The 24086-nt window shown below is 36.3% G+C and overlaps 1 protein-coding gene across 2 annotated transcripts in view; it reads left to right on the top strand.

Annotated features, from left to right (window-relative positions):
- The window catches only part of SEMA3E (semaphorin 3E), a 285902-nt gene continuing 262645 nt past the window's right edge, over positions 830-24086 (top strand). Inside the window, exon 1 of one of the 2 annotated variants that reach the window (NM_012431.3) lies at positions 830-1541. In NM_012431.3, coding sequence (NP_036563.1) covers positions 1427-1541 — 115 coding nt within the window. In that variant the 5' untranslated portion in view covers positions 830-1426. Of the gene's footprint in view, positions 1542-8537; positions 8638-24086 lie in introns of those variants that run through there. The other variant, NM_001178129.2, reaches the window with a different exon arrangement.

Genomic DNA, 24086 nt, shown 5'->3' with positions numbered 1-24086 from the left:
TCTTAACATAATACCATTCATTTCCATGCCAACAGCTCCTGAGTGTTTGGCTTAGTTTTTGAGATTGATTGAAGGTAGATTGTAAAGTTGACCTATTGTGTTAAGCTTATTTACACAAACACAGTGCCTTGGAAAATCAACTCTGGAAGTCCATAGCAGTTGAATCCTAAGGTATTGCACATCCTAAGTTTTCTAATACCTGCTTTATAGAAATCCCTTGGGTGGTGAATCTCAACTTTGCCAGTTACCTTACCTGGGGGAAATTACTTCAACATTCCTAAATTTGAAGTAAAATTTAGGAATTGCTTTAGGACAAAGGATTTGCCTTTAATTTCATTTGACCAATTTGCTTAAGTAAATAATTTATCATTTCTATCAAATTTATGAGACAGTCACAGATGAACTTTTTTTTTTCAGGCTCTTGAAACACACTTTTCTTAAAAGAGTTTAAAAATAACATCCCTAAGATATAAGCAATAGAAAAAGACTTAATTTTGAAAAAAACCTTATGGCAACAGTGAAAAACAGAATTTGGATTCTGGATGGTTACAAATAGATTATTTTCAAAAGAAGTTGGATTTATTCAACTTAGGTCAATTTATCTTGGTAAGAATTTAAAAGCGCTTTCTGATGCCACATCCTTGTCTGTCACCTATTCTTAAATAATCAGTCTATGTCATCACCCCTCCCGAACTCCCCATTTCCCCCATCAAAATGTGGACTTCTCTCCTGCTGCTGAGTAACGTGGGGCTGGTTATGACTGGGAGGGAGGATGGGAGCGAGGCACGTGGACCAGAAATACTTCCTAGAAACAGCAAGTACGCTGCTCAACCCTGCCTGAACTTTCCTGTAAACAGCCACTGACAGACTGCATCCCTGCTGGGTGGATCCTGCGACTCCTAGAGGGAATGGCACTTCTTGTTTTTAATTAGCAAGGTGAAAGGTGAATTAAAACTAGCAGTTTGGCAAGTCAGTGCAAGAGGCTGACTTCTGAGAGGCTTCCAGGAGCCCGAAGAGAGGACCTCCACGGGAGAAGGGAGTGCGTGTGCTCGGTTTTGTTTTTTTCTCTCTTTTTTTTTTTTTTTTCTGAATGAACAGCTTTGCCCAAGTGACTGAAAAATACAGCTTCTTCCTGAATCTACCGGCGTAGTTGCTGAAGAGCGCTCTAGACAGGACATGGCTCTGAAGACTCACTCTTTGGAATGTCCTCTTGCTCCCGGCTTATAAACAACTGTCCCGAGGAAAGAAAGGTTTTACATAGCCAAATACAGCCTGACAAATGGCACTTCGGAACTGTGCTTTCTGATGACAACGCGTTCGATTTCTGACAAAGCCTCTCGCACGCTGCCCCTGGAGGGAAGTCCTAAGTAAAACTCAGACCCTCCTTAAAGTGAGGAGCGAGGGCTTGGACGGTGAACACGGCAGCATGGCATCCGCGGGGCACATTATCACCTTGCTCCTGTGGGGTTACTTACTGGAGCTTTGGACAGGAGGTCATACAGCTGATACTACCCACCCCCGGTTACGCCTGTCACATAAAGGTAGGTTACCTTTCCAGATCCTTTTGTTTAAAAAAAAAAAAAAAGAAAAAGAAAAAAGAAAAAAAAAGTCGTTTAACATTAACATAGGCTTATGGTCTTCAAAGACCTTTAAAATGCACCTGAAAAATTTATTGCAAAACTGACCTAAAATTCTAAGTACCTCTGATTAATGTGTCATACTCACCTCATCTGAAAACAGTGCAAAATCACATGTCAACTTAGAGATGTTATTTTTGTCTGTAAACATTGGATTTTATCAATAAGGAGTTCACTCACTAGCCCGCGGAACACAGGAAGGGAGGAAGCAGGTTGAAAATAGCCTTGAGAGGCTGAATCCACCAAGTTAACAGTAGATATTTAAATATCAGTTTATGCATATGAGAAACAAGGATGCTGGGAAAGGGCTATAGAAATAGGGGTGCAATTTGTTCTTTTTGTTTTTGTTTTGTTTTGTTTCCATAATGGAGGTAAGAGGAGAAAATAAAAATCCCGAGGAGAAAAATGATGCCCTACCCATAACTGTCATCATCATGTAATTAAAATGATTAACAACTAATATAAATTAGTTTTCCAGTTGAATTGATTATTAGAATTTTTTCATGTGTGGCAAAGGAAAATAGTTTATGACAATGCTTGTAAAATGGCTAATATGGATTAAAGTATTAGTATTCACTAGCATTTGTAGTGTAAATTTATATTGCCTTAATGAAGATCTAACAGCAAATGTTTAAATATTTCATTCTACAATTGTCTTGTAAAGCAACATCATACTCATAAATAAATGATTAAAAGATAGATTTTGCATCAGGACCAATACAAGCCAGTCATGAATAGGTTTGGTAATTCCTCCTGTAAACAAACAAATAATAAACAAAACCATGCTCAGAGAAAGTGACTTTGCTGACTTAATATAAATTCGGAATAAATTGTCAGCAAAGAAGTATTTATTATCACTAGCCATTGACACATTGAGACAGATAGCAGATGTAATACTCAGGATTACATAAGAATCATTTTTCAATTGTGTAAGCTTTTAAATTGTCCCCCACTGTAGAAAGAACAGAAGCTTGTATTTTCTAAGTACAGGTAGAATATTTATCAGGAGAAACAAAAAGGGAGTCCTCAATTTTATGTGACACGTTTGGCCTTTTTGTCTTTTTATTGGACAATCTTCAGTAAATGTTGACTATAGAAATTTTTTCATTTTTAGAATAGTGGATGTTTTCTTAGTTTAAATAGATTTCCTATAATACTATCCAGTAGATAATATAAATTTAAGAAATCCATTGATACTAAATTGGTAAAGTGTTTAAAATATAGTGCCCAGAATTAACACTAATCTTTTAACTTGGGAAGATGTATCATGGTATGTATCAAAATGCCTATTTCTAAGAAGTTTATCATCAAAGATGTCAACATGTACAAATTTGATGTGATGGAATATGGACAAATAAAAATGCAAAAAAATATAATTGATTGTTTTTCTTATGTAGACAAGTAGATAAGCTGCCAGTTTTTGCAAGCTACAATTCTGTTATATCTAGTATTAACATTTTATACCCTATTATTGGGGTACTTGTGTTTTCATGGTTCAATATCAGTGTGTTTTCCAACAGGTCACATTTTAATATTTCATAAGAGAGTTAATAATTTGATCAAAAAATACCAAAGTTCTCTGATACAAGTAAATGTTATGCATAATACTATTATCGAGTTCATCTTTATTATGTCACTTATATTCAAAGAAATAATTGTAACTGATGTTATGAGTGGTGTCATATGGTGTGAGAGTAAAACCGCTAGTATCTATATGTACAATAGACTGAAAACTCCCACAGGATTTCCCTTAACTTTGAATTTAATGGAACCAGCTGAAAATGCACAATATGATGTTTTTATACAAAGGCAGAATAGAGAGAGTTACCTGAAAATAGAATGTTCCTACTTGTGCAATTTAGTTAGTAAAGTCAGTTAAGAGATCACACTGGAGATGCTACCTGAAGCAGCAAATGCCTACTGCACCTCAGGGGCCTCAGTGAAAAGAAGAGCATATATACTGTCAGAGGAGGGATATTCAGTCCCACCAATACAATATGAACAGCCCATTTATCTCTCTAGACTCTGGAATTCAGTGAATATTTTAGAAGTCTTCAAAAACTAGGAATAAGATATTACAGATTAATCTTTTGCTGACTTGACTAATGTCAGTAACGACAAGTGTTCAGTAGCGAGTGAATTAAGTAATTAATATTTAAATGAGTATATAATCTTTCAATATAAGAGGCACTAGGTATATGTCATATAGCATCTCTGTACCGCTGCCTGACCACTAGCAAGGAAATCCAGGAGGCTCCCTGGAGATAGCCTACTAGAATAATTCAGAAATTCTTTTCACAGTTAATGATCTAAGCTGTATGGGAGAAAGGCAGGCATTTTTCTCATATTCTTCACTTTTAAGATGAAAACACAAGCCTATTGTTTCTTCCCAAGGAGGAGGAGAAAGTTTATCATATACAGAGCGTGAGTTAAATTATATAAAAATATGTTCAGAAAAAAAATGTCCAGAGATTTGCCCTTTTCCTCTCCCCTTCATTCTCCATTACTATTTCTGGGAATGACATGTTCTTAACTAGAGCTGGAAAGGAAGGGATCATTAGGATTAAAGAGGAGAAAAGGCAGAGAGAGAGAGAGAGAGAGAGAGAGAGAGAAGGAGACAAGGTACAAGGGTAGTAAGAGGTGTGGAATATTTTCTAGTTGATTTCCTACTGCCTTGTGCCCCAATGGGGTAATATTGAATCCCTCTCTCTTCTAACTGAATATCTCACTGCACACTAATATTAAGAAAATATACTGGCTTAGGGCAAGCCTGGTGGATAAAATGATGAGATAATTACTCTTGTTGAAGCAATACATAAATCTTTTAATGTATTTTCTAGTTACAAGGTAAATTACATTAATAAGTAAAAATGTAGCAAAGATTAAAATGGCAAGATGCTGTCCTGCTTTGTAAAAATTTTCAGTCAAGATTTGAGTTGAGTTTGGCTGTATCAGGCAAATATTTAAAAGTTCATGAATAGTTATGCATTATAGCTAACTTTATCCCAGCTCAATAGGGTAATATTGGTGAGATTAATGCAAAATTTTAATATTCTTCCCCAAGGGTTTCTTTGAAAAATACTGTGGTCCTCAGGACAGAAACCAAGGAAAGAGAGAATGAAGGGAGAAAAGTCCTGGTGGATTCATCTACTTCCTTCTGTTGATATCTGTTCTCTCCTTATCTTTCACCATCCTGCACTAATGAGGTTACAGGGAAGGCAAAAATAAGCTTCTTGATAATGGAGCTCAGAGAAGAAAAAACAAATAAGCCAAGACCTATGTTGAGCAAGAAATACCGATGTACATGGAAAGCCCCAGAAATTCAATCATGGGAGCTTGGCAGACAGGGGTAGGTGTTTGAAGTCTCAATAAGCAAGAATGCAGTTGCAGAAATCAAGGAGAATTGCTGCTTAAGCATAAAATGTTCTCCTAGAATAGTTGGTGAAGAGACATTTAAATAAAGGCATGGATATGGCAGAAGAGCATTCCTAAAATATGTTAACATTATACATGTAGATTTAAACATGGAATATATACTTATGCAGATAGAACTTGTGATAGAGTGTTAATTAGTGTATCTGTATTGGGTATTATAATCAATTAAATACAGATTTATCATAGTTCAGAGAGCTCAGGATTTGAAATCAGAGGCCTCTACTCCAGCTCTGTACTCCCCACTTATAATAATGATAATTAATTGTCTGCATCTCAGTTTCCTCTATTTGAAAATAGGGGTAGTAATGGTAATTTGCCTGTACATTTTACTGGGTTTTTGAGATAATCAAGTGAAACAACAATATCTGTGAATGCACCTTATCACCTAAAAACTATTTATATTATTAATGTTTTTGCAGACTGATACAAAGTGAGAAAATTGGAAGGAAACAGGTCCTAAAGAGAAAAACCTTGAAAATGTTATGAGTTTATATTTCAACAAGTGCTAGGATAATGCTAATATAGAAGACAGGATAAAGTTGCTCTTAAATCGCATAAAACATATGATTTATCTTGATAGATTGCACTCACTCCAAATTTCATCTTCCATATCTTTGACCTCTAGTTATAATAACTCAGAAGATGATTACATTGTATGTGAATTTTCCAAGATTCATGGCCTATATATTTTTTTTTTTTGCTGTAGTGTACACATATCGATTTGTTACATGTATTCACTCTACAACACACATTTTAGAATTCATTCCATTTACAAGAAAATAATTGACAGAGAATTCTAAAAGAGCACAATGTTAAATAAATATTCTGAATGATCATTCTGGAGGCCATGGTATTTATTTTATACCCAAGGCAAATAAAACATGAGGTAGTGACTGAGCCAGTTTTTCCTGACCCAGCTCATAGCTTTGGTTCCTCATCCAATAGCCTGGTATTATCAATAGTGACATTAGTCACACATCTCTGGGTGTTAATAAATAAAAACTGGTCATAAGACATGATTCATAAGCAGAGTGATTAAATAGGACCCAGGAGGAAACACTAGCCTATGTGCCCAGAGCTTCAGGGAGAGACAGTGAGAATTAAGTGGTGGATTTATTAAGAAATAGTTTATATTATAAAAAATATCACTGGATAAGTTGTGAGAAATTACAATATGTTTTGTTGAGTCTGCTTTATATAAAATATGCTTTCTGTGGAGAGAGCCTTCCTATGAATTTTAGAGTGCTATTATTTGCATTTTTATATTTGCTACAGACAAATATTGTCCATGTATCACATCAGTGCATCTGGATATATGAAAGTCCCCAAATGTTTCTATGAATTATTAAATTCTTATCTGGATGTTGCATTTTACAGTGGGAAAACAGTTATCTTTTAGTATGGTAATAGGGTGAGGGAAGCTCAGGGTTAGGAAAAAACAGTTCATATATAAACAGTGAATTTATATATGAACTGGGTCAATTTTGGAGTGGAAAATTTATGTGTATCAAATCATTTTTTCAGCTTTACAAGGGAAGTATTCTATACATAATATATAATCAATGCCTGTTCTTTGTTAATAAATATATTCAACAGCTATGATGTCATAATGAAATATGCTTTAAAAATTATGTTGTCATATTGTTGTTTTGCTATCCAGGTCAGATTTGTCATCTAGTCAGAGCTGAGAGTATTACACAGAGAGGGCCTCTGTTTCTTTTTGGGATGAGATCACTTGGTGGCCTCAGTTCTATGACCACATAATAAAGCACCAAACCATGAAATTGGTTGTTACTGGTGAAAATTATTGCTAACAATCTGCTCAGTCAGTTTTATTTCATCAAAGACATTTAAAGGAATCATCATTGAGACTTCTTAGTGGGAGTGTGTGCAAAGATGTATTTCTTTATCTTTGTATATAAAACTCTTCTGTGGTTTAATAGAGGAATTTAGTCTGCAGGAATCCAGAAATATCACTTTGCATGCATGCATGCCCCTTCATACATAGCCATCCCAGTGTTAAAGTCTTATAATTTCAGTCTCTGAGAGTTAAAAACAAAACTAAACTAAAATTATACCATTTATAATATTTTCCAAAGGGTGCAGAATGAAGATTTAGATTATTTTCTTGGTTTTAATAGACAGGGCCATAAGTTAGTAGTTTCTAGTGTAACATATGACACTTTGTAATACTCTGTACCTTATACAAAGGATGATGGTTATTTTGATATTTTTTTTCACAGTAAAGCCTTAAATAACATTGGAGGCATAAGAGAAAACATCAGTGTTATTATTAATTCCTTAGTCTTAAGTGAGCATTATTCTTTGCACTCATGATAGGAATGATAGTGACAAGACTGGATATTTTATAGTCTGGATATTCTGGACTAGGAATGAACAGGACATGTCCATACCACATTTACACCAAGTGTTGCAGTCTCTGATATTAAGAGAACATTTTTGGTCAAAAACAGTGATGACTTCAAGAAAAGACATCTCTGCAGAATTGATATCTTTCCTTCATATGGCCCTATGGTGGCCAAGACAACTGATTACTCGAGAAGTTTTCAGCCCTAGTTCTAACACCTATTTCAGGATATTCTAACCATAGGGCTCCTTTGCCTTGGTAACCTTACCTCCACAACTGGTATGAAAAAATAAAAGAGAAATCTATTGTCATGCCTGATTTCTGGGACTTAGAAATGTGTTTCACTACCATCCTTGGTACCTAAACTCTCAGCCATCACTGTGCTATGCTCAAGGATTTAGTTTGTAGCTTTGGCATAGGAAACATAGCAGCTAGTTTAAGCCCAGGTATTAGAAAACACTCTTACATTCGAATTTCAGTGGCCTAAAACCCCCTAGACTTTGGATGAGGCATATCTAATTTGAATCTGGCTTCAGACTGCATGGCATGAGCAAGTTACTTAGGTTTTCTGAATATGCATTTTCTTATCTTTAAAGTGGTAAAACATAATTTGCAAAAATTTGAAAGGATTACATGAGATAATGCAGATTACTGTGCAGAATACTTAACCCTTAGGAAGCTTTTTATAAATTACTCAGTAAATCAGATGAGATTCAGAGAGAATTAATCTATGCTGTTCTCTTTTTTATTCTAAAAGCAATCATGAGCTAATTGTTAAATTACAACTTAAGATGAAGAGAGATCCTTAACATCAGATTTTTACTTAAAAGCAAAGATTTTCTTTAATGAACACCAGCTCTTATTAGAGTAGATAACTAGAAGGAGCAAAGAATATTGATGTCTCTCATGTTTGTAAGTTATTGTAAGAATTATTTTGTTTATACTTTAAGGAAAGTTGGAATTTTATCTGATGGCACCTTGGAGACAACAGACCAAATCCACAAAATAAACAGTACTAACAAAGGTAATTGTAGGCCCAGCTTTGTAACGCACAATAGAACTAATATTACTAAGGCCAGACCACACTGCCTAAAGTTAAACTAAACAGTGTCCTATAGGCAGCTATCAGCTCAGCATGTGTTGTTTACTTGGAAAGTGAAAGAAAGTCTCCCACTTTGCCTTCCCTTAGATGAACAGGTAAGATATCTGGTGCCATGCACAGTTCCTGACACTTAGTAGGCATTCAACAAGTGCTCATCAAGTGAGTATCTGAATAAAACAAAATGATTTAGAACTGTGTTTTTCAAAGGAAAAGATGATGGGGTGGGATAAGCAGGAATACCCATGAAACTGAGGAATCCTGGACAACTATTTATAGCCCCTTTAGCATAACATATGTTAGAGAAAAGGCTGGGGCTTTCTGTCTATTCACCTTCTTTCTCATCAGTGCTGCATTTAGTGAAACAGCTGGGACCTCCAGGCACCCTCCTGACACATCAGTTGAATTCTTTCATCTACATTCTCTCCTCCACCTTTTTCTCTACTTCCTTCCTCTTGTTTTTCTTCCTTCTCTTTCTCTTTCTCTTCTTCCTCTCCTCCTCCTCCTTCTATCTGTCTTGTGTTATCCTTGTCATTTCTGGGTTATCACTATACCCCCTCCTCCCTTTCTGTTTTTACTTAATTCTGTGTACCCCTTTGTGAGGCTGGCACCACCCCTTCTCTCTTTTTCTCTTCTTCTACTTCTCTTCCAGATAAATACTTTTGATTTCTTCCTCACCTTAAGCCAAAAGGGGAAAGAAAACATACTTTTAGTGAAAGATATGTATTCATTGGCCTTCTGTGTACCTTCAATATTTGTTTCATTTTTGTTTAACACAATAAATATAAAACATAACCTTTGAATTTTTTAGAAAAACTTTAAACTTACTAGGTATTGAAAATTGGTTGAAATCCATGATGTAGGAAATAATGAAATACTAAGTAAATAGCTTACTAGCCACCTGGACAATGTGCCCTCTTTCTCCAACCTGTTTTTCCGCTGGGAAGCTGATGCTCTCAGGCAACATGGGATTGTGGCAATTGGAGAGGAGAGGAATTAGGGCACTGCACAGGAGAGAGCAGAGCCTGCCAGCCAAGTATTCTGTAGCTAAACTGGAGTTAAATGTCAGTTAAAATATTATTGATGTAAACCTATTTCTATGCACTTTTGGTTTGTTTTCTCTGAGTTTTGAGCTTTAATTTAGGGAAACCAGAATAAAAAGGGGGTTTTATTTACAGGATAGAGTGGTGGAACAGAATCCCTAAGAATAAGTCCCAGGGGTGATTTTAGGTAGCCAGATCAACTTCAGAACCGGAAAAGAACAGCAGCAAAGAAAATGAGAATAAAAGAGGGTGAAAACAGAGGTCAGCTGAGGACACTGACTCTTTCCCTCCTGACTTGTTCTTTCCCAGGAAATGATGGGAATGGAGAGGGGCTTTAAGATACACTGTGGAAGTAAAGTCAAATAGGAAATGTACTCTCAGCATTGTGTATAGCTGTTTACTCCTCCTGATTGCTTTTTTCCTAACACTGAGTCACAAAGTTTATTATGAACTTCAGGTCCTTTCCAAGTATAGAAATGTAGGGCTCCTTTCTTCTCCTTACCAGGCTTCAGAAGTGTTTCTCCAAAACACTTCTGAAACTTGTATTAGGAGATAGTATGCTGTAGTGGAAAGGGTATAGACTTACAATTTTTGAATCTACAGTATATTTTATTTGATGCTGTCTTATTCTTGCTAAATCATCGAACTGAGGCTTCCTTTCCTCATCATTATAAAGGGACTAATGAACACTTCCTATCTCGTATGGTTTTGGTAGAAAAAAATTTAAATGTATCACAAAGATGAATGATATGGTGTTATAGTATCTTATAATACTTTCTAATTTATGTAATTGTTTTTAAATATATTTAAAGGTCCTTCAGGGCAAGGAGTAATTTTTTGTAAGACCCTTGGGGATGGAATAAATTCACTTCAAATCATTCCTAAAGGCTATAATTACCGCCTGGGCTTTGGTATCTACTGAATTGAAATGTATATATATTTAGTTGGCTTCCATATTATGGTCAAAATAACACAACTATAAAGGCTAACTTTATTTTTTAGAAGGTTCAGAGCTACTGCTAAATAATTCACCTGCAGGAAGTCTTGATTGAATTACATTGCACAGGAGATGATGTTACTATAATTTTCTTCTGCTCTGCTTCTGAGCTGGGTCAGAAAGGAGATGGAAACTGGAGTTAAATGAATGCTACACAGAGTGTGGTCCATGGACTGCAACATCAGCATTCCCTGGGAGCTGCTGAATCAGATCTACTGAATCAATAATTCTGAGGCTCAGGAATCTCTGTTTTTTTTTTTTTTTTTTTTTTTTTTTTTTGAGACGGAGTCTCGCTCTGTCGCCCAGGCTGGAGTGCAGTGGCGGGATCTCGGCTCACTGCAACCTCCGCCTCCCGGGTTCACGCCATTCTCCTGCCTCAGCCTCCCAAGTAGCTGGGACTACAGGCGCCCGCCACTACGCCCGGCTAATTTTTTGTATTTTTAGTAGAGACAGGGTTTCACCATTTTAGCCGGGATGGTCTCGATCTCCTGACCTCGTGATCCGCCCGCCTCGGCCTCCCAAAGTGCTGGGATTACAGGCGTGAGCCACCGCGCCCGGCCAGGAATCTCTGTTTTAACAAGTCCTGTGTGTGATTCTTAGTGAAGACTCAGCTATGAGAAACACTGGGCTGTGTGTGTGGAAGGATGCTACAAAAAAGCCTCAAGCTCATATTACCTTTTTCATTTATTCCTCCTTTAGCTTCATCCCCTAGGTTAAGGGTGTTGTTGAATGTCCAAATCACAGCCTTGATCTTGATAAATATACTTAGATTCATAGATATCTAACTATATTACCATTATCTGCATATTTTTGTATTAAATATAAAGTGTGCCTATTCATTGATGACAATTTAGCACATAATTTAAATATTTTTAAAGATTATTGATGGTGTAAATTGTAGCATGATGTAGCTATGATTGAGTTCTGATGAGAAAACATCTAATATGGATCGATCATGGAAAAGCATTTTATAAAATTCAAAAATTCTTCCATGTCTCAAAGAGAAGTTTTCCTGGAGAAATGAAATTAGATGTCGCTTACCACTTCATCCCCTTTGTTATACATCTTGGTCATGGCCTGTATTAATCTGCTCTGATGTTGCTATAAAGAACTGCCCAACAGTGTGATAAAATTAAGACATTCCATTAATATTGTTATGAATGACCTCATTGCTCACCATGCACGATAAAGCTGTGTTGTTTCCACACAATATACATATTAAAACACATAATTCATTTCAGAGTGCACAGGATGCTATGTTATCATAGAGAAAGGCTTTCTAAAGTTTTTTCCCTTAAATTCTTTTGGGGTAAAATCAATGGATATAGCTTTGGGAAATAGTGGATAGCTATATATAATGAGTAATTAACAAAGTTTATTGCTTTAAACACTTTAATTTTAATCACATTAATAATAGGTAAAGTGACCATGTGCATTTGTTAACTATCATAATCTTTTCAAGGGACAGAATACAACAATTTCCTCCTTGATCTTGGACACCAGCCCAGAAACCACTGTCCTACCGCCTTGTAAGGATCTCCTCTTTCTAAAATATACGTTAAATTAGCAGAATATTTTGAATGAAAAAAAAAAAAAAAAAGAACTGCCAGAGACTGGATAATTTATAAAGGAAAGAGGTTTAATTGACTCACAGTTCCACAGGGCTGAGGAGGCCTCAGGAAACTTACAATCATGGCAGAAGGGGAAGCAAACACATCCTTCCTCATATGGCAGCAGAAGAAGTGCAGAGCAAAAGGTGAAAAGCCCCTTATAAAACCATCAGATCTCCCGAGAACTCACACACTGTCAGAAGAAGAGCATGGGGGAAACTGCCTTCATAATTCATTACCTCCATCTGGTCCCACCCTTGACACATGGGGATTATTACAATTCAAGGTGAGATTTGGGTGGGGACACAGAGCCAAACCATATCATTGCCTTCAGAGAATTAAAAGAGCCTATAATTTTTAAGTAGATTTGGCTTATTATTAAATCATTTATAAGTATTTGTTCAGCTTCTTCAATGCTTTAGGTACTGAGCATCATGCTAGGATTTTAAGAATAAAAAATCCAGTTTTATAAACATAATGTGGTATACTGTTTGGAATCCTGGGATAGTAAAGGATTATTAGATAAAAACTAAGGAAATCTAAATAAAGTATGAATTTTAATTAATAATAATGTATCAATATTGGTTTATTAACTCTGATAAATGTACCATACAATGTATATTGTAAACAAGGGAAGCTAGGTATAGGTATAGGGGAACTCTCTGTACTCACCATAACTGTTCTGTAAATTTAAAACTATTTTAAAATAAGAAGTTTCACACACACACACACACACACATACACACACACACACACTCTCACACATAGCTTTTAGTCAAACCCAGTTCTCAAGAAGCTTAAGATCCAGTTGTAAAAGGAGACAGGTCGTAATAAAGTAGGGTGCTTTTTTTATATATCAAGGGATGCTATGAAAGCATGAAGTTGGGGCTGAAAAGAGACCCAAAGCTCAGTCTTGAACATGAACAGGAGGAGCTTGGGCAAGATGTTATGAACAAATTAGCTATGTCATACCTTGCCTTGCACCATCCTGCCATGTGCCCACAATCATCCCACTGCATATAATGCACTGTATTCTCCCAGAAATTAACTTAATTCCACTGGGAACATGACTCTACCACACACACTAGTATCACACGTTCTTTGTCCTTGCTAAATTTAATTTCCCCCATTTCTAAATGGCTTTGAGGAATTTTCAGATTTTTTGTATGAGAAATATGATTACTACAAATTCACAATTAGAGTCTGAAAATACTGAGGGCAGTTATATTGCATTTTATTGCTCAAATCTTAGAATCTAATAAACTTTAGGTACTGAATATACTTTATGTATTGCATTTAATATACAGAATTTAATTCTATCTATATAGATACATATCTATATCTATTCACACTAGTGTTACCAATCTTAATTCTTTTGCTGAATACCACATACAATTCCTAACAGAGATGGCAGAAAATGAAATGATAGTGTTGGGAGAGCATTGAGAATACAGGAGATATGATGAGACTATTTCTCTTCTGCCCCTTTTGCAACATATTAGGCACTAGTTTGGCTTCAACTCTTCCATTACAAAAGTTCTGAAGAGAAATCCAGGACTGCTTTAAAATTATTCAGAAAATATCTGTAAATTATTAAAAGATATAGTTTGAGGCTGTGGCAGAGGACAGTATGAATTCATCTGGGCCATTCAAATGATTATTGTCACATTTGACTCAACTTTTCTTCCCACTTGCTCCAATCATGATCTCCCAATTTCCAATTTCATTCATTTCTACAGTGACAAATTATGAAGAAACAGAGAAAAAGAATGAATACAAGAATACCATGACAAAGCAGAAAGAAAAGAAAGTCAGAACTGGGAAAGAGTGATAATTTACCCATCTTTGTTTTTTTTCAGAAAGGCCCAATTGACCAAAGCAAGATTTTTTTTTTTTTTGTCAGTCTGTCTCTGTGCAAAAGTTTTATGAATAATTTGGCCATTTGTCTTTCATTTATCATTTTAAAAGCACAGCTATTGGTAGTAACATAGTGAGAAGGAAAAGCAATGGCTATGTTTTATCATTCTACTTAGTTTATGAAAGCTATTTGACTTTCTCAACCCAGGTTATTTGAGAAAGAACTTATGAAAATTTCATTTTACTAAGATTTTACTATATCTATAAGCCAAGAAAAAATGTTTTTTCATGTACTTAATTTATCAAAATCAATTGATAATATATTTTGAAATGCTATATCCTTAAGTTTGTTTTTTTTTGGTACTATACTATAATTAATTAAATACAATGCACTTAACACAAACTGTAAACTAATGGGCATAAATAGAAATGTCATATTAAGAAGAAAGCACACATTTGTCACCATACCTTATTATTATAAAGAGTAAATAAAAATAGAAATGGGAAGCACTGGATTATTTTATTTTTAGAAACTAAAGATAATCTATAAAAAGAAGTCTATAGAAATTAGGATCACTTCTATAATCCTGAGCAAAGCAAAAATGATATATGTTTAAAGAAAGGGTTAGGAAAAATAATGGTAAGGAAAAAATAATTTCTTTTGAAAACAGCGTATTATTGATGAAACTGACATAACTTATTTTTCCTGATCCTAAGCAAAATAAATAATATAATAAAAGCAAACAGAAAATAAAGAAAGGAAAAAGTAATTTTAAGCTTGACATTGTCACAAAGCATAAGTGTTACACATATTTCTGGTCAGATGAATGGTAACCACAAATACTTTATAATTGGTTAGAATGAGTACTAGAATATTGAGCTTGCCATCAGTTTAAGGTCTGGATAAACTTGAGCTAACCATATGGTATATTCTTAGAATAACCATATCACCCATAATCAAAACGTAAATTATAAAGAGAAAGAACTTTTTTCAAAGTCAAATGTTATAATTTTAGTTGTTGGGACATTCAATTATCCAAATCATTGTTTATTTCCATTAATATGAGAAAGAAAATAATTTTTTCTTATTTTGTCCAGAAAGAAGAAAGTAGATGGAGAAGATAGGACTATAAAATACTAGAATGGCTTTAATGAGCCACCCAAAATATTGATTTTATTATTATATTGTTACAGTCATAAGAAGTTAATGTGTTTAAACTCCTGTAACACATTCATATGGTTTAATTTCCTTGTAATTCCCCAAAGCAAAATTCGCTTGTAATAATATTTAAATAACCATAATAAGAAGGAAAATATTATAGGTAAGTCAACTATACAATTAAAAAAACAATCAAAAGAATGAAATAGCATTTTGTCATTATACTGCTCAGAAGTAAGACAAAAGTTATGTACTGGGCACTGTTTTTGACAGATTTTTTTGCCAAATGTTTTTTGCTTGCTCCAAAATGTGTATGCCCAAACTGAAGTCTGATATATTTTAGGATTGCAGAAGGATTTTTCCTATCTGGAGAAAAAAAACTGAATTATCTCTAATTTAAAAATTAATAAAGTTAAACAAGAATAAAAATGAGAAAACTAAAAAACCATTACCAATGAGATAGCTTACACACTAATAAAGCAGTTATCACTCAGAAACACGTTAGATGCCTTCTATAGTACTGGTCTCAAGGGACATAAAATACAATTCAAGGATTTTATTGTATGTGGTTATGTTTAGAATATAATATTATGCGTATTAGACACTTAAGTTTTTATATTAGTCAACAAATAGTAATAGTAATATATTGTTTTAAGTTAGAAATGCCATTTGTCCTTTTAGTCAGCTAATTTATATCTATTGGATAGTTAGCAGAGTTGGTAGTGCTTCATTTTTGAATGTCTAGAATACTGTTAATGTGAGAAAACAAATACAAAATTGCCATTGGTTGTTTTGCTATGGGTGGAAAAGAATTCTTGCCAGTTAAGGAACTACTTCAGGGAGTGATCTCCCTGTGAATGGTGTGTGTAATATTGCAATTTTGTTGATGACAGCACTGCTGCTTTTCACTTCTGGGACTCCCCAGCCAAGCTCCAAGTTTCCACTCACACTGCTAGACACCCAAAATCTCCCTTTATCCTCAATGACTATTTTTTTTTTCCTCTTAACAAATAGGCCCAGCTGCTACTGCAGCCGGTTGCCCACACTCTCTCCCATACTGCTTTTGCTGAGGATGGCAGGCAGAGTAGAGAAGAACAGCTGAGATTGGCTTACTTTGGCATCTAAATAATTTTGGGTGGGTCCTTTCCTAACTTTATTATTCCATTTAATTTTATAATCTTTCCTTCTGCTGAAGTTTAAAAAAACATATAAATTATGTTTCCCTAAAATGTTTTCCTCGTCTGGCTGCGACTCTCTTATACCTGGCTGCTCAAGATAAACAAATTGGTTCCTTTTGCACATTGCTAATTTTTTTCCAATGTTAAGCACTATTTAGAAATCAAATGTGGTAGAAGCAAATTTATTGGTGTGATCTTGGACATGTTACTTAACCTTTCTCTGACTAAAGGAGGTGTATAATAAATATCACCTTCTCATTGGTTATAGTAAGGATTAAATGAAAGAGCTTTTAAATGTATTTAGAGTAGTGCCTGGCACATAGTAATTGCTAAGAAGGTGTTTGTTAGAAAGTCAGAGAGAAGAAGAAGAGGTAAAGAAGGGGGCATGGGAGAGGGAAGAGGAGAAGTAGAGAGGAGGAAGGAAAAGGAGGAAGGAATAATTGCTAAGTAGAAAAGCTAATAACTGGAATTAGGGAATTAAAATCAACCTATGGATTTAGCATTTTACGTCTTATTTCAACAACAACAACAACAAAATCGTTCATTAAAAAAAGACTATAGTTTAGGAAAATTGTATAATTTTACCCAAATTGGATAATTTTATTGAGGGTAGGAATTTTAGTGACTACTGCCCACTCTGTGAAGTCATCATGTCCATGGCTTCCAGATAGGTGGTCACATGTTTATCATTTTGAATTTGTGCATTTTCATTGAGAGAGAGATTACTGCCTGACAAGGAATTCCATTTCATTTTGTAATAGTCCAGTGAAGAGCAAGTACTTACCTACCTAATCTCAAATCATTTTCCATATTTTAGTCTTAGTTTTTTTTCTTTAATGCCAGCAGGAAGGACATAAGTCATGATGGACCTCCAAATACATAAAGATAGTATATTAGTTCATTTTCATCCTGCTGATAAACTCATACCTGAGACTGGGCAATTTACGAAAGAGGTTTATAATGTACTTACAGTTCCACATGGTTGGGGAAGCCTCACTATCATGGCGGAAGGCAAGGAGGAGCAAGTCACATCTTACATGGATGACAGCAGGCAAAGACAGAGTTTGTGCAGGGAGACTTGTTTTTAAAAGCATCAGATCTCATGAGACTTATTCACTATCACAAGAACAGCATGGGGAAGACTGCCCCCATGATTCAATTACCTCCCACTGGGTCCCTCCCACAACCCGTGGGAATTAAAGCTGAGATTTGGGTGGGGCACAACAAAGCCATATCAGATAGTTATCATGCTCTTTTGTCATAGGTGAATATTCCTCAATATCTTGACTATTCTTTCAGTATTTTGGTTATTCTCCTGTTTGCTAATGCCCCTCTTAAAATGGAGCACCAGAATTTATACTCCAGAGATGCTTGCTTTGTTTACAGAATAGTGGTGGTGCTGTTAACCAATGACTTTTTTTTTTTTTTTTGAGATGGAGTTCCACCTTTGTTGCCCAGGCTGGAGTGCAATGGTGTGCTCTCGGCTCACTGCAACCTCTGCCTCCCAGGTTCAAGCGATTCTCCTGCCTCAACCTCCTGACTAGCCAGGATTACAGGCACGTACCACCATGCCCGGCTAATTTTGTATTTTTAGTAGAGATGGGGTTTCTCCATGTTGTTCAGGCTGGTCTCGAACTCCTGACCTCAGGTGATCTGCCTGCCTCGGCCTCCCAAAGTACTGGGATTACAGGCATAAGCCACTGTGCCCGGCCAACCAGTGACTTTTATTTATTAAAGCCACCCGAGTTGACAGCAGCTTATGGGCAAATATGCCATTTTATTTGATTGCTGTCAGCCCTTCTAAGGATTTTCTCATGGACTCTGTTGAACCAACTTTTTCCTTTATTTCATGCACGTGGTTTGTTTGCTGAAGTTAAGGAAAACCCTCTTCTCTCTCCAGTCTAGAATGTAGATCATATGTGTAGTAACAGTGTGTGGTGCCCTGAAAAAGACATGCACTTTGGAGTGAGACATTCCTATATTCAAAGACTATATGGTTCTGCTATTGTGTCTTTGCTTAATTTGCTTAGCATCATTTTCCACATTTAATGTCTTCAGGAAACTGGCTAGTTAAAATGGTAAAAGTTGCATTCATTGTCGAAATTCTTATAAAGTCGTTTTGTTTTTCTTTTTAAATTTAAAATACACATTTCATGGGCTTTATCTAAAATGTCAGTATTTGGAAGGAGTTTAACATACAGTTGAAGTAAATTTTAATTAAAGTATATAAAATGTATGCTTTTCTGGCTTCCCTGGATGATGTAGACCAATAAATGTCACTGCCAGTTTTCTTTATAAATATTATAAAATTATTTACAGACTTATAGTAAATGAAAGATCAATTTCAAGGTCTGGATAAATGAGCTAAACATAACCATTTTTTAATATGAAGAAACAAAACCGTCTTTCTTCATGGCTAAAATAAACAGAAGCTTTTTAAATGTCTTAATTTTTTATTTAAAAAGAATCTGGAATGGTCACAACAGAATGGAAGAATTAAAATACCATCATAGCTGTGACTGCTTAATTTTATAACTTGAATTTGCTTGAAATCTTGTAGATTTGCCAGTCTCTCTTGTAGAAAGTCCCATGTTCTTAAAAAAAGGCACATAATTTTTCAGAATAATTTTTAATTAACTCCTTGTAAGTCAAATGGTAATCTGTAAAAAATAATTTTACAAAAGACTTTATGCGTTAAAAATATTCATAATTTCCTCAAAATTTAAAATAACCCTATATTTTTGCCAAATCTCTTTGCAGCCTCTATTTTGTTTTTGTTATAAGATTAACTTCACCAAATGCTCTTTTCCTACATTACCAGTTTATGAGCTGCTTATACTGTCTTGGAATTTTGAGTATACAGGAAGAACTATTTTAAGAAGAGTAAAACATCATCAGTATAAGGAATATCACTAATGATCATATGCACCTATCCATATTACAGTTCTTGTAGCAATAATGAATTGATAATATTTCAAAATATCACACTGTGATAAACAAGGATGTCTGATCTCAGAAGATAACACATGACAGACTCACTGCTCTACCATAAATCTACATAAATGAATTTGTGTACCCTGTCAGATATCTTTGGGATGTTTTTCCATTTGCTATCAGTATATTGCCTTCAGATGCTTTCTAGTACATCTGAATATAATATTAATCCTCTAACTTATAGACATTAATTAAAGTGATAGGGCCAAACTTTGCTATCCTATTTTATTTAATATGACAATCTCATCAATATGAGGAAATGGAGAAATAAAAGATACATTCCTTTACATTATTATAGAGATTGTCAAAGTCCATTTTTCTTTAAGAAATGAAACAATTTTTATTCCCGGGCAAGATGGCCAAATAGGAACAGCTCCCATCTGCAGCTCCCAGTGAGACGAACACAGAAGGCAAGTGATTTCTGCATTTCCAACTGAGGTGCCTGGCTCATCTCATTGGGACTGGTTAGACAGTGGGTGCAGCCCACAGAGGGTGAGCCGAAGCAGGGTGGGGTGTTGCCTCACAGGGAAGTGCAAGGGGTTGGGGAACACCCTCCCCTAGCCAAAGGAAGCCATGAGAGACTGTGCTGTGAGGGATGGAGCTCAGGCCCAGATACTATGCTTTTCCCACAGTCTTTGCAACCCACAGACCAGGAGATTCCCTCGGGTGCCTGCACTACCAGAGCCCTGGGTTTCAAGCACAAAGCTGGGTGGCTGTGTGGGCAGACAATGAGCTAGCTGCAGGAAGTTTTTTTCATACCCCAGTGGTGCCTGGAACGCCAGTGAGGCAGATCCGTTCGCTCCCCTGGAAAGGAAAGTGAAGCCAGGGAGCCAAGTAGTCTTGCTCAGTGGATCCCACCCCCACAGAGCCCAACAAGCTAAGACACACTGGCTTGAAATTCTTGCTGCCAGCACAGCAGTCTGAAGGTGACCTGGGACACTCAAGCTTGGGGGGAGGGGCGTCTGCCATTACTGAGGCTTGAGTAGGCGGTTTTCCCTTCACAGTATAAACACAGCCACCGGGAAATTCAGATAGGGCAGAGCCCATCGTAGCTCGGCAAAGCCACTGTAGCCAGACTGCCTCTCTAGATTCCTCCTCTCTGGGCAGGGCATTTCTGAAAGAAAGGCAGCAGCCCCAGGCAGGGGCTTATGGATAAAACTCCCATCTCCCTGGGACAGAGGACCTGGGGGAAGGGGTGGCTGTACTTAAACGTTCCTGCCTGCTGGCTCTGAAGAGAGCAGTGGCTCTACCAGCACAGCGCTTGAGCTCTGCTAAGGGATAGACTGCCTCCTCAAGTGGGTCCCTGATCCCCAGGCCTCCTGATGGGAAGATACCTCCCAACAGGGGCCAACAGACACCTCATACGGGAGAGCTCCGGCTAGCAACTGGCAGGTGCCCCTCTCAGATGAAGCTTCCAGAGGAAGGAGCAGGCAGTAATCTTTGCTGTTTTGCAGCCTCCACTGGTGATACCCAGGCAAACAGGGTCTGGAGTGGAACTCCAGTGAACTCCAGTGAACTCCAGCAAACTCCAGCAGACCTGGAGAAGAGGAGCCTGACTGTTAGAAAGAAAACTCCCAAGCAGGAAGCAATAGCATCAACATCAACTGAAAGGATGACTACTCAAAAACTCCATCTGAAGGTCACCAACCTCAAAGACAAAAGGTAGACAAACACATGAGGATGAGGAAAAACCAGCACAAAAAAGCTGAAAATTCCAAAAACTAGAATGCCCCTTCTCCTCCAAAGGATCACAACTCCTCGCCAGCAAGGGAAGAAAAATGGATGGAGAATGAGTTTGATTAATTGACAGAAGTAGGCTTCAGAAGGTGGGTAATAACAAACTCCTCTGAGTTAAAGGAGTATGTTCTAACTCAATGCAAGGAAGCTAAGAACCTTGATAAAAGGTTACAGGAACTACTAACTAGAATAACCAGTTTAGAGAAGAACATAAATGATCTGATGGAGCTGAAAAACACAGCATGAGAACTTTGTGAAACATACACAAGTATCAATGGCCAAATCAAGCAGAAGAAAGGATATCAGAGATTGAAGATCAACTTAATTAAATAAAGCATGAAGACAAGATTAGAGAAAAAAGAAAGAAAAGAATGAAAAAAGCCTCCAAGAAACATGGGACTGTGTGTAGAAACCAAACTATGTTTCATTGGTGTACCTGAAAGTGATGGGGAGAATGCAACCAAGTTGGAAAACACACATCAGGATATTATCCAGGAGAACTTCCCCAACCTAGTAAGACAGGCCAACATTCAAATTCAGGAAATACAGATAACACCATGAAGATAACCTTGAGAAGAGCAACCCCAAGTTTTAAATGAAGGAAAAATGTTAAGGGCAGCCAGAGAGAAAGGTCAGGTTACCCACAAAGGGAAGCCCATCAGACTAACAGCAGATCTCTGCAGAAGCCCTACAAGCCAGAAGAGAGTGGAGGTCAACATTCAACATTCTTAAAGAAAAGAACTTTCAACCCAGAATTTCATATCCAGCCAAACTAAGCTTCATAAGTGAAGGAGAAATAAAACCCTTTACAGACAAGCAAATGCTGAGGGATTTTGTCACTACCAGGCCTGCCTTACAAGAGCTCCTGAAGGAAGCACTAAATATGGAAAGGAAAAACCACTACCAGCAACTGCAAAAACATATGAAAATGTAAAGACCATCAACACTATGAAGTAACCGCATCAACTAACGGGCAAAATAACCAGCTAGCATCATAACGACAGGATCAAATTCACATGTAACAATATTAACCTTAAATGCAATTTGGGTAAATGCCCCAATTAAAAGACACAGACTGGCAAATTGAATAAAGAGTCAAGACCTATCAGTGTGCTGTATTCAGGAGACCTATCTCACATACAAAGACATACATAGGCTCAAAATAAAGGGTTGTAGGAAGATTTACCAAGCAAATGGAAAGCAAAAAAAAAAAAAAAAAAAAAAAAGCAGGGGTTGCGATCTTCATCTCTGATAAAACAGCCTTTAAACCAACAAACAGAAAAAAGACAAAGAAGGGCATTACATAATGGTAAAGGGATCAATGCAACAAGAAGAGCTAACTATCCTAAATATATATGCACCTAATAGAGGAACACCCAGATTCGCTAACTATCCTAAATATATCTGCATCTAATAGAGGAGCACCCAGATTCACTAACTATCCTAAATATATATGCACCTAATAGAGGAGTTCCCAGATTCTTAAAGCAAGTTCTTAGAGACTTACAAAGAGACTTAGACTCCCACACAATAATAGTGGGAGACTTTAACACCCCACTGTCAATATTAGACAGATCAATGAGACAGAAAATTAACAAGGATATTCAGGACTTGAACTTAGCTCTGGACCAAGTGGACCTGATAGACATCTACAGAACACTCCACTCCAAATCAACAGAATATACATTCTTCTCAGCACATCACACTTATTCTAAAATTGACCACATAATTGGAAGTAAAACACTCCTCAGCAAATGCAAAAGAACACAAATTGTAACAAACGGTCTCTCAGACCACAGTGCAATCAAATTAGAACTCAGGATTAAGAAAATCACTCAAAACTGCACAACTACATGGAAACTGAACAATCTGCTCCTGAATGACTAGTGGGTAAATAACGAAATTAAGGCAGAAATAAATAAGTTCTTTGAAACCAATGAGAAGAAAGACAAAACTTACCAGAATCTTTGGGACACAGCTAAAGCAGTGTTTAGAGGGAAATTTATGGCACTAAATCCCTACAGGAGAAAGTGGGAAAGATCTAAAATTGACACCCTAACATCACAATTAAAAGACTTGGAGAAGCAAGAGCAAACAAATTCAAAAGCTAGCAGAGGACAAGAAATAACTAATTCAGAGCAGAACTGAAGAAGATAGAGATATGAAAAACTCTTCAAAAAATCAATGAATCTAAGAACTGTTTTTTTGAAAATACTAACAAAATAGATAATCTGCTAGCCAGACTAATAAAGAAGAAAAGAGAGAAGAATCAAATTGACACGATAAAAAACGATAAAGGGGATATCACTGCTGATCTTACAGAAATACAAACTATCATCAGAAAATACTATAAACACCTCTATGCAAATGAACCAGAAAATCTAGAAAAAAATGGATAAATTCCTGGACACATGCACTCTCCCAAGATTAAACCAGGAGGAAGTTGAATCCCTGAATAGATCAATAACAAATTCTGAAATTAAGGCAGTAATTAATAGCCTACCATCCAAAAAAAGCCCAGGACCAGATGGATTCACAGTTGAATTAAACAGAGGTACAAAGAGGAGCTGCTACTATTCCTTCTAAAACTATTCCAAACAATAGAAAAAGAGGGACTCCTCCCTAACTCTTTTTATGAGGCCAACATCATTCTGATAGCAAAACCTGGAAGAGACACACACACAAAAAGAAAATTTCAGTCCAATATCCCTGATGAACATTGATGTGAAAATCTTCAACAAAATTCGTCAAACCAAATCCAGCAGCACATTAAAAAGCTTATACACCACAATCAAGTCAGCTTCATCCCTGGGATGCAAGGCTGGTTCAACATATGCAAATCAATAAATGTGATCTATCGCATAAACAGAACCAATTACAACAACCACATGATTATCTCAATAGATGCAGAAAAGGCCTTTGATAAAATTCAACACCCCTTCATGCTAAAAACACTCAATAGACGAGGTATT

Source organism: Homo sapiens, chromosome 7, assembly GCF_000001405.40.
Source record: "Homo sapiens chromosome 7, GRCh38.p14 Primary Assembly".
Lineage (NCBI taxonomy): Eukaryota > Metazoa > Chordata > Mammalia > Primates > Hominidae > Homo > Homo sapiens.
This window is presented reverse-complemented; position numbering and strand designations above follow the sequence as displayed.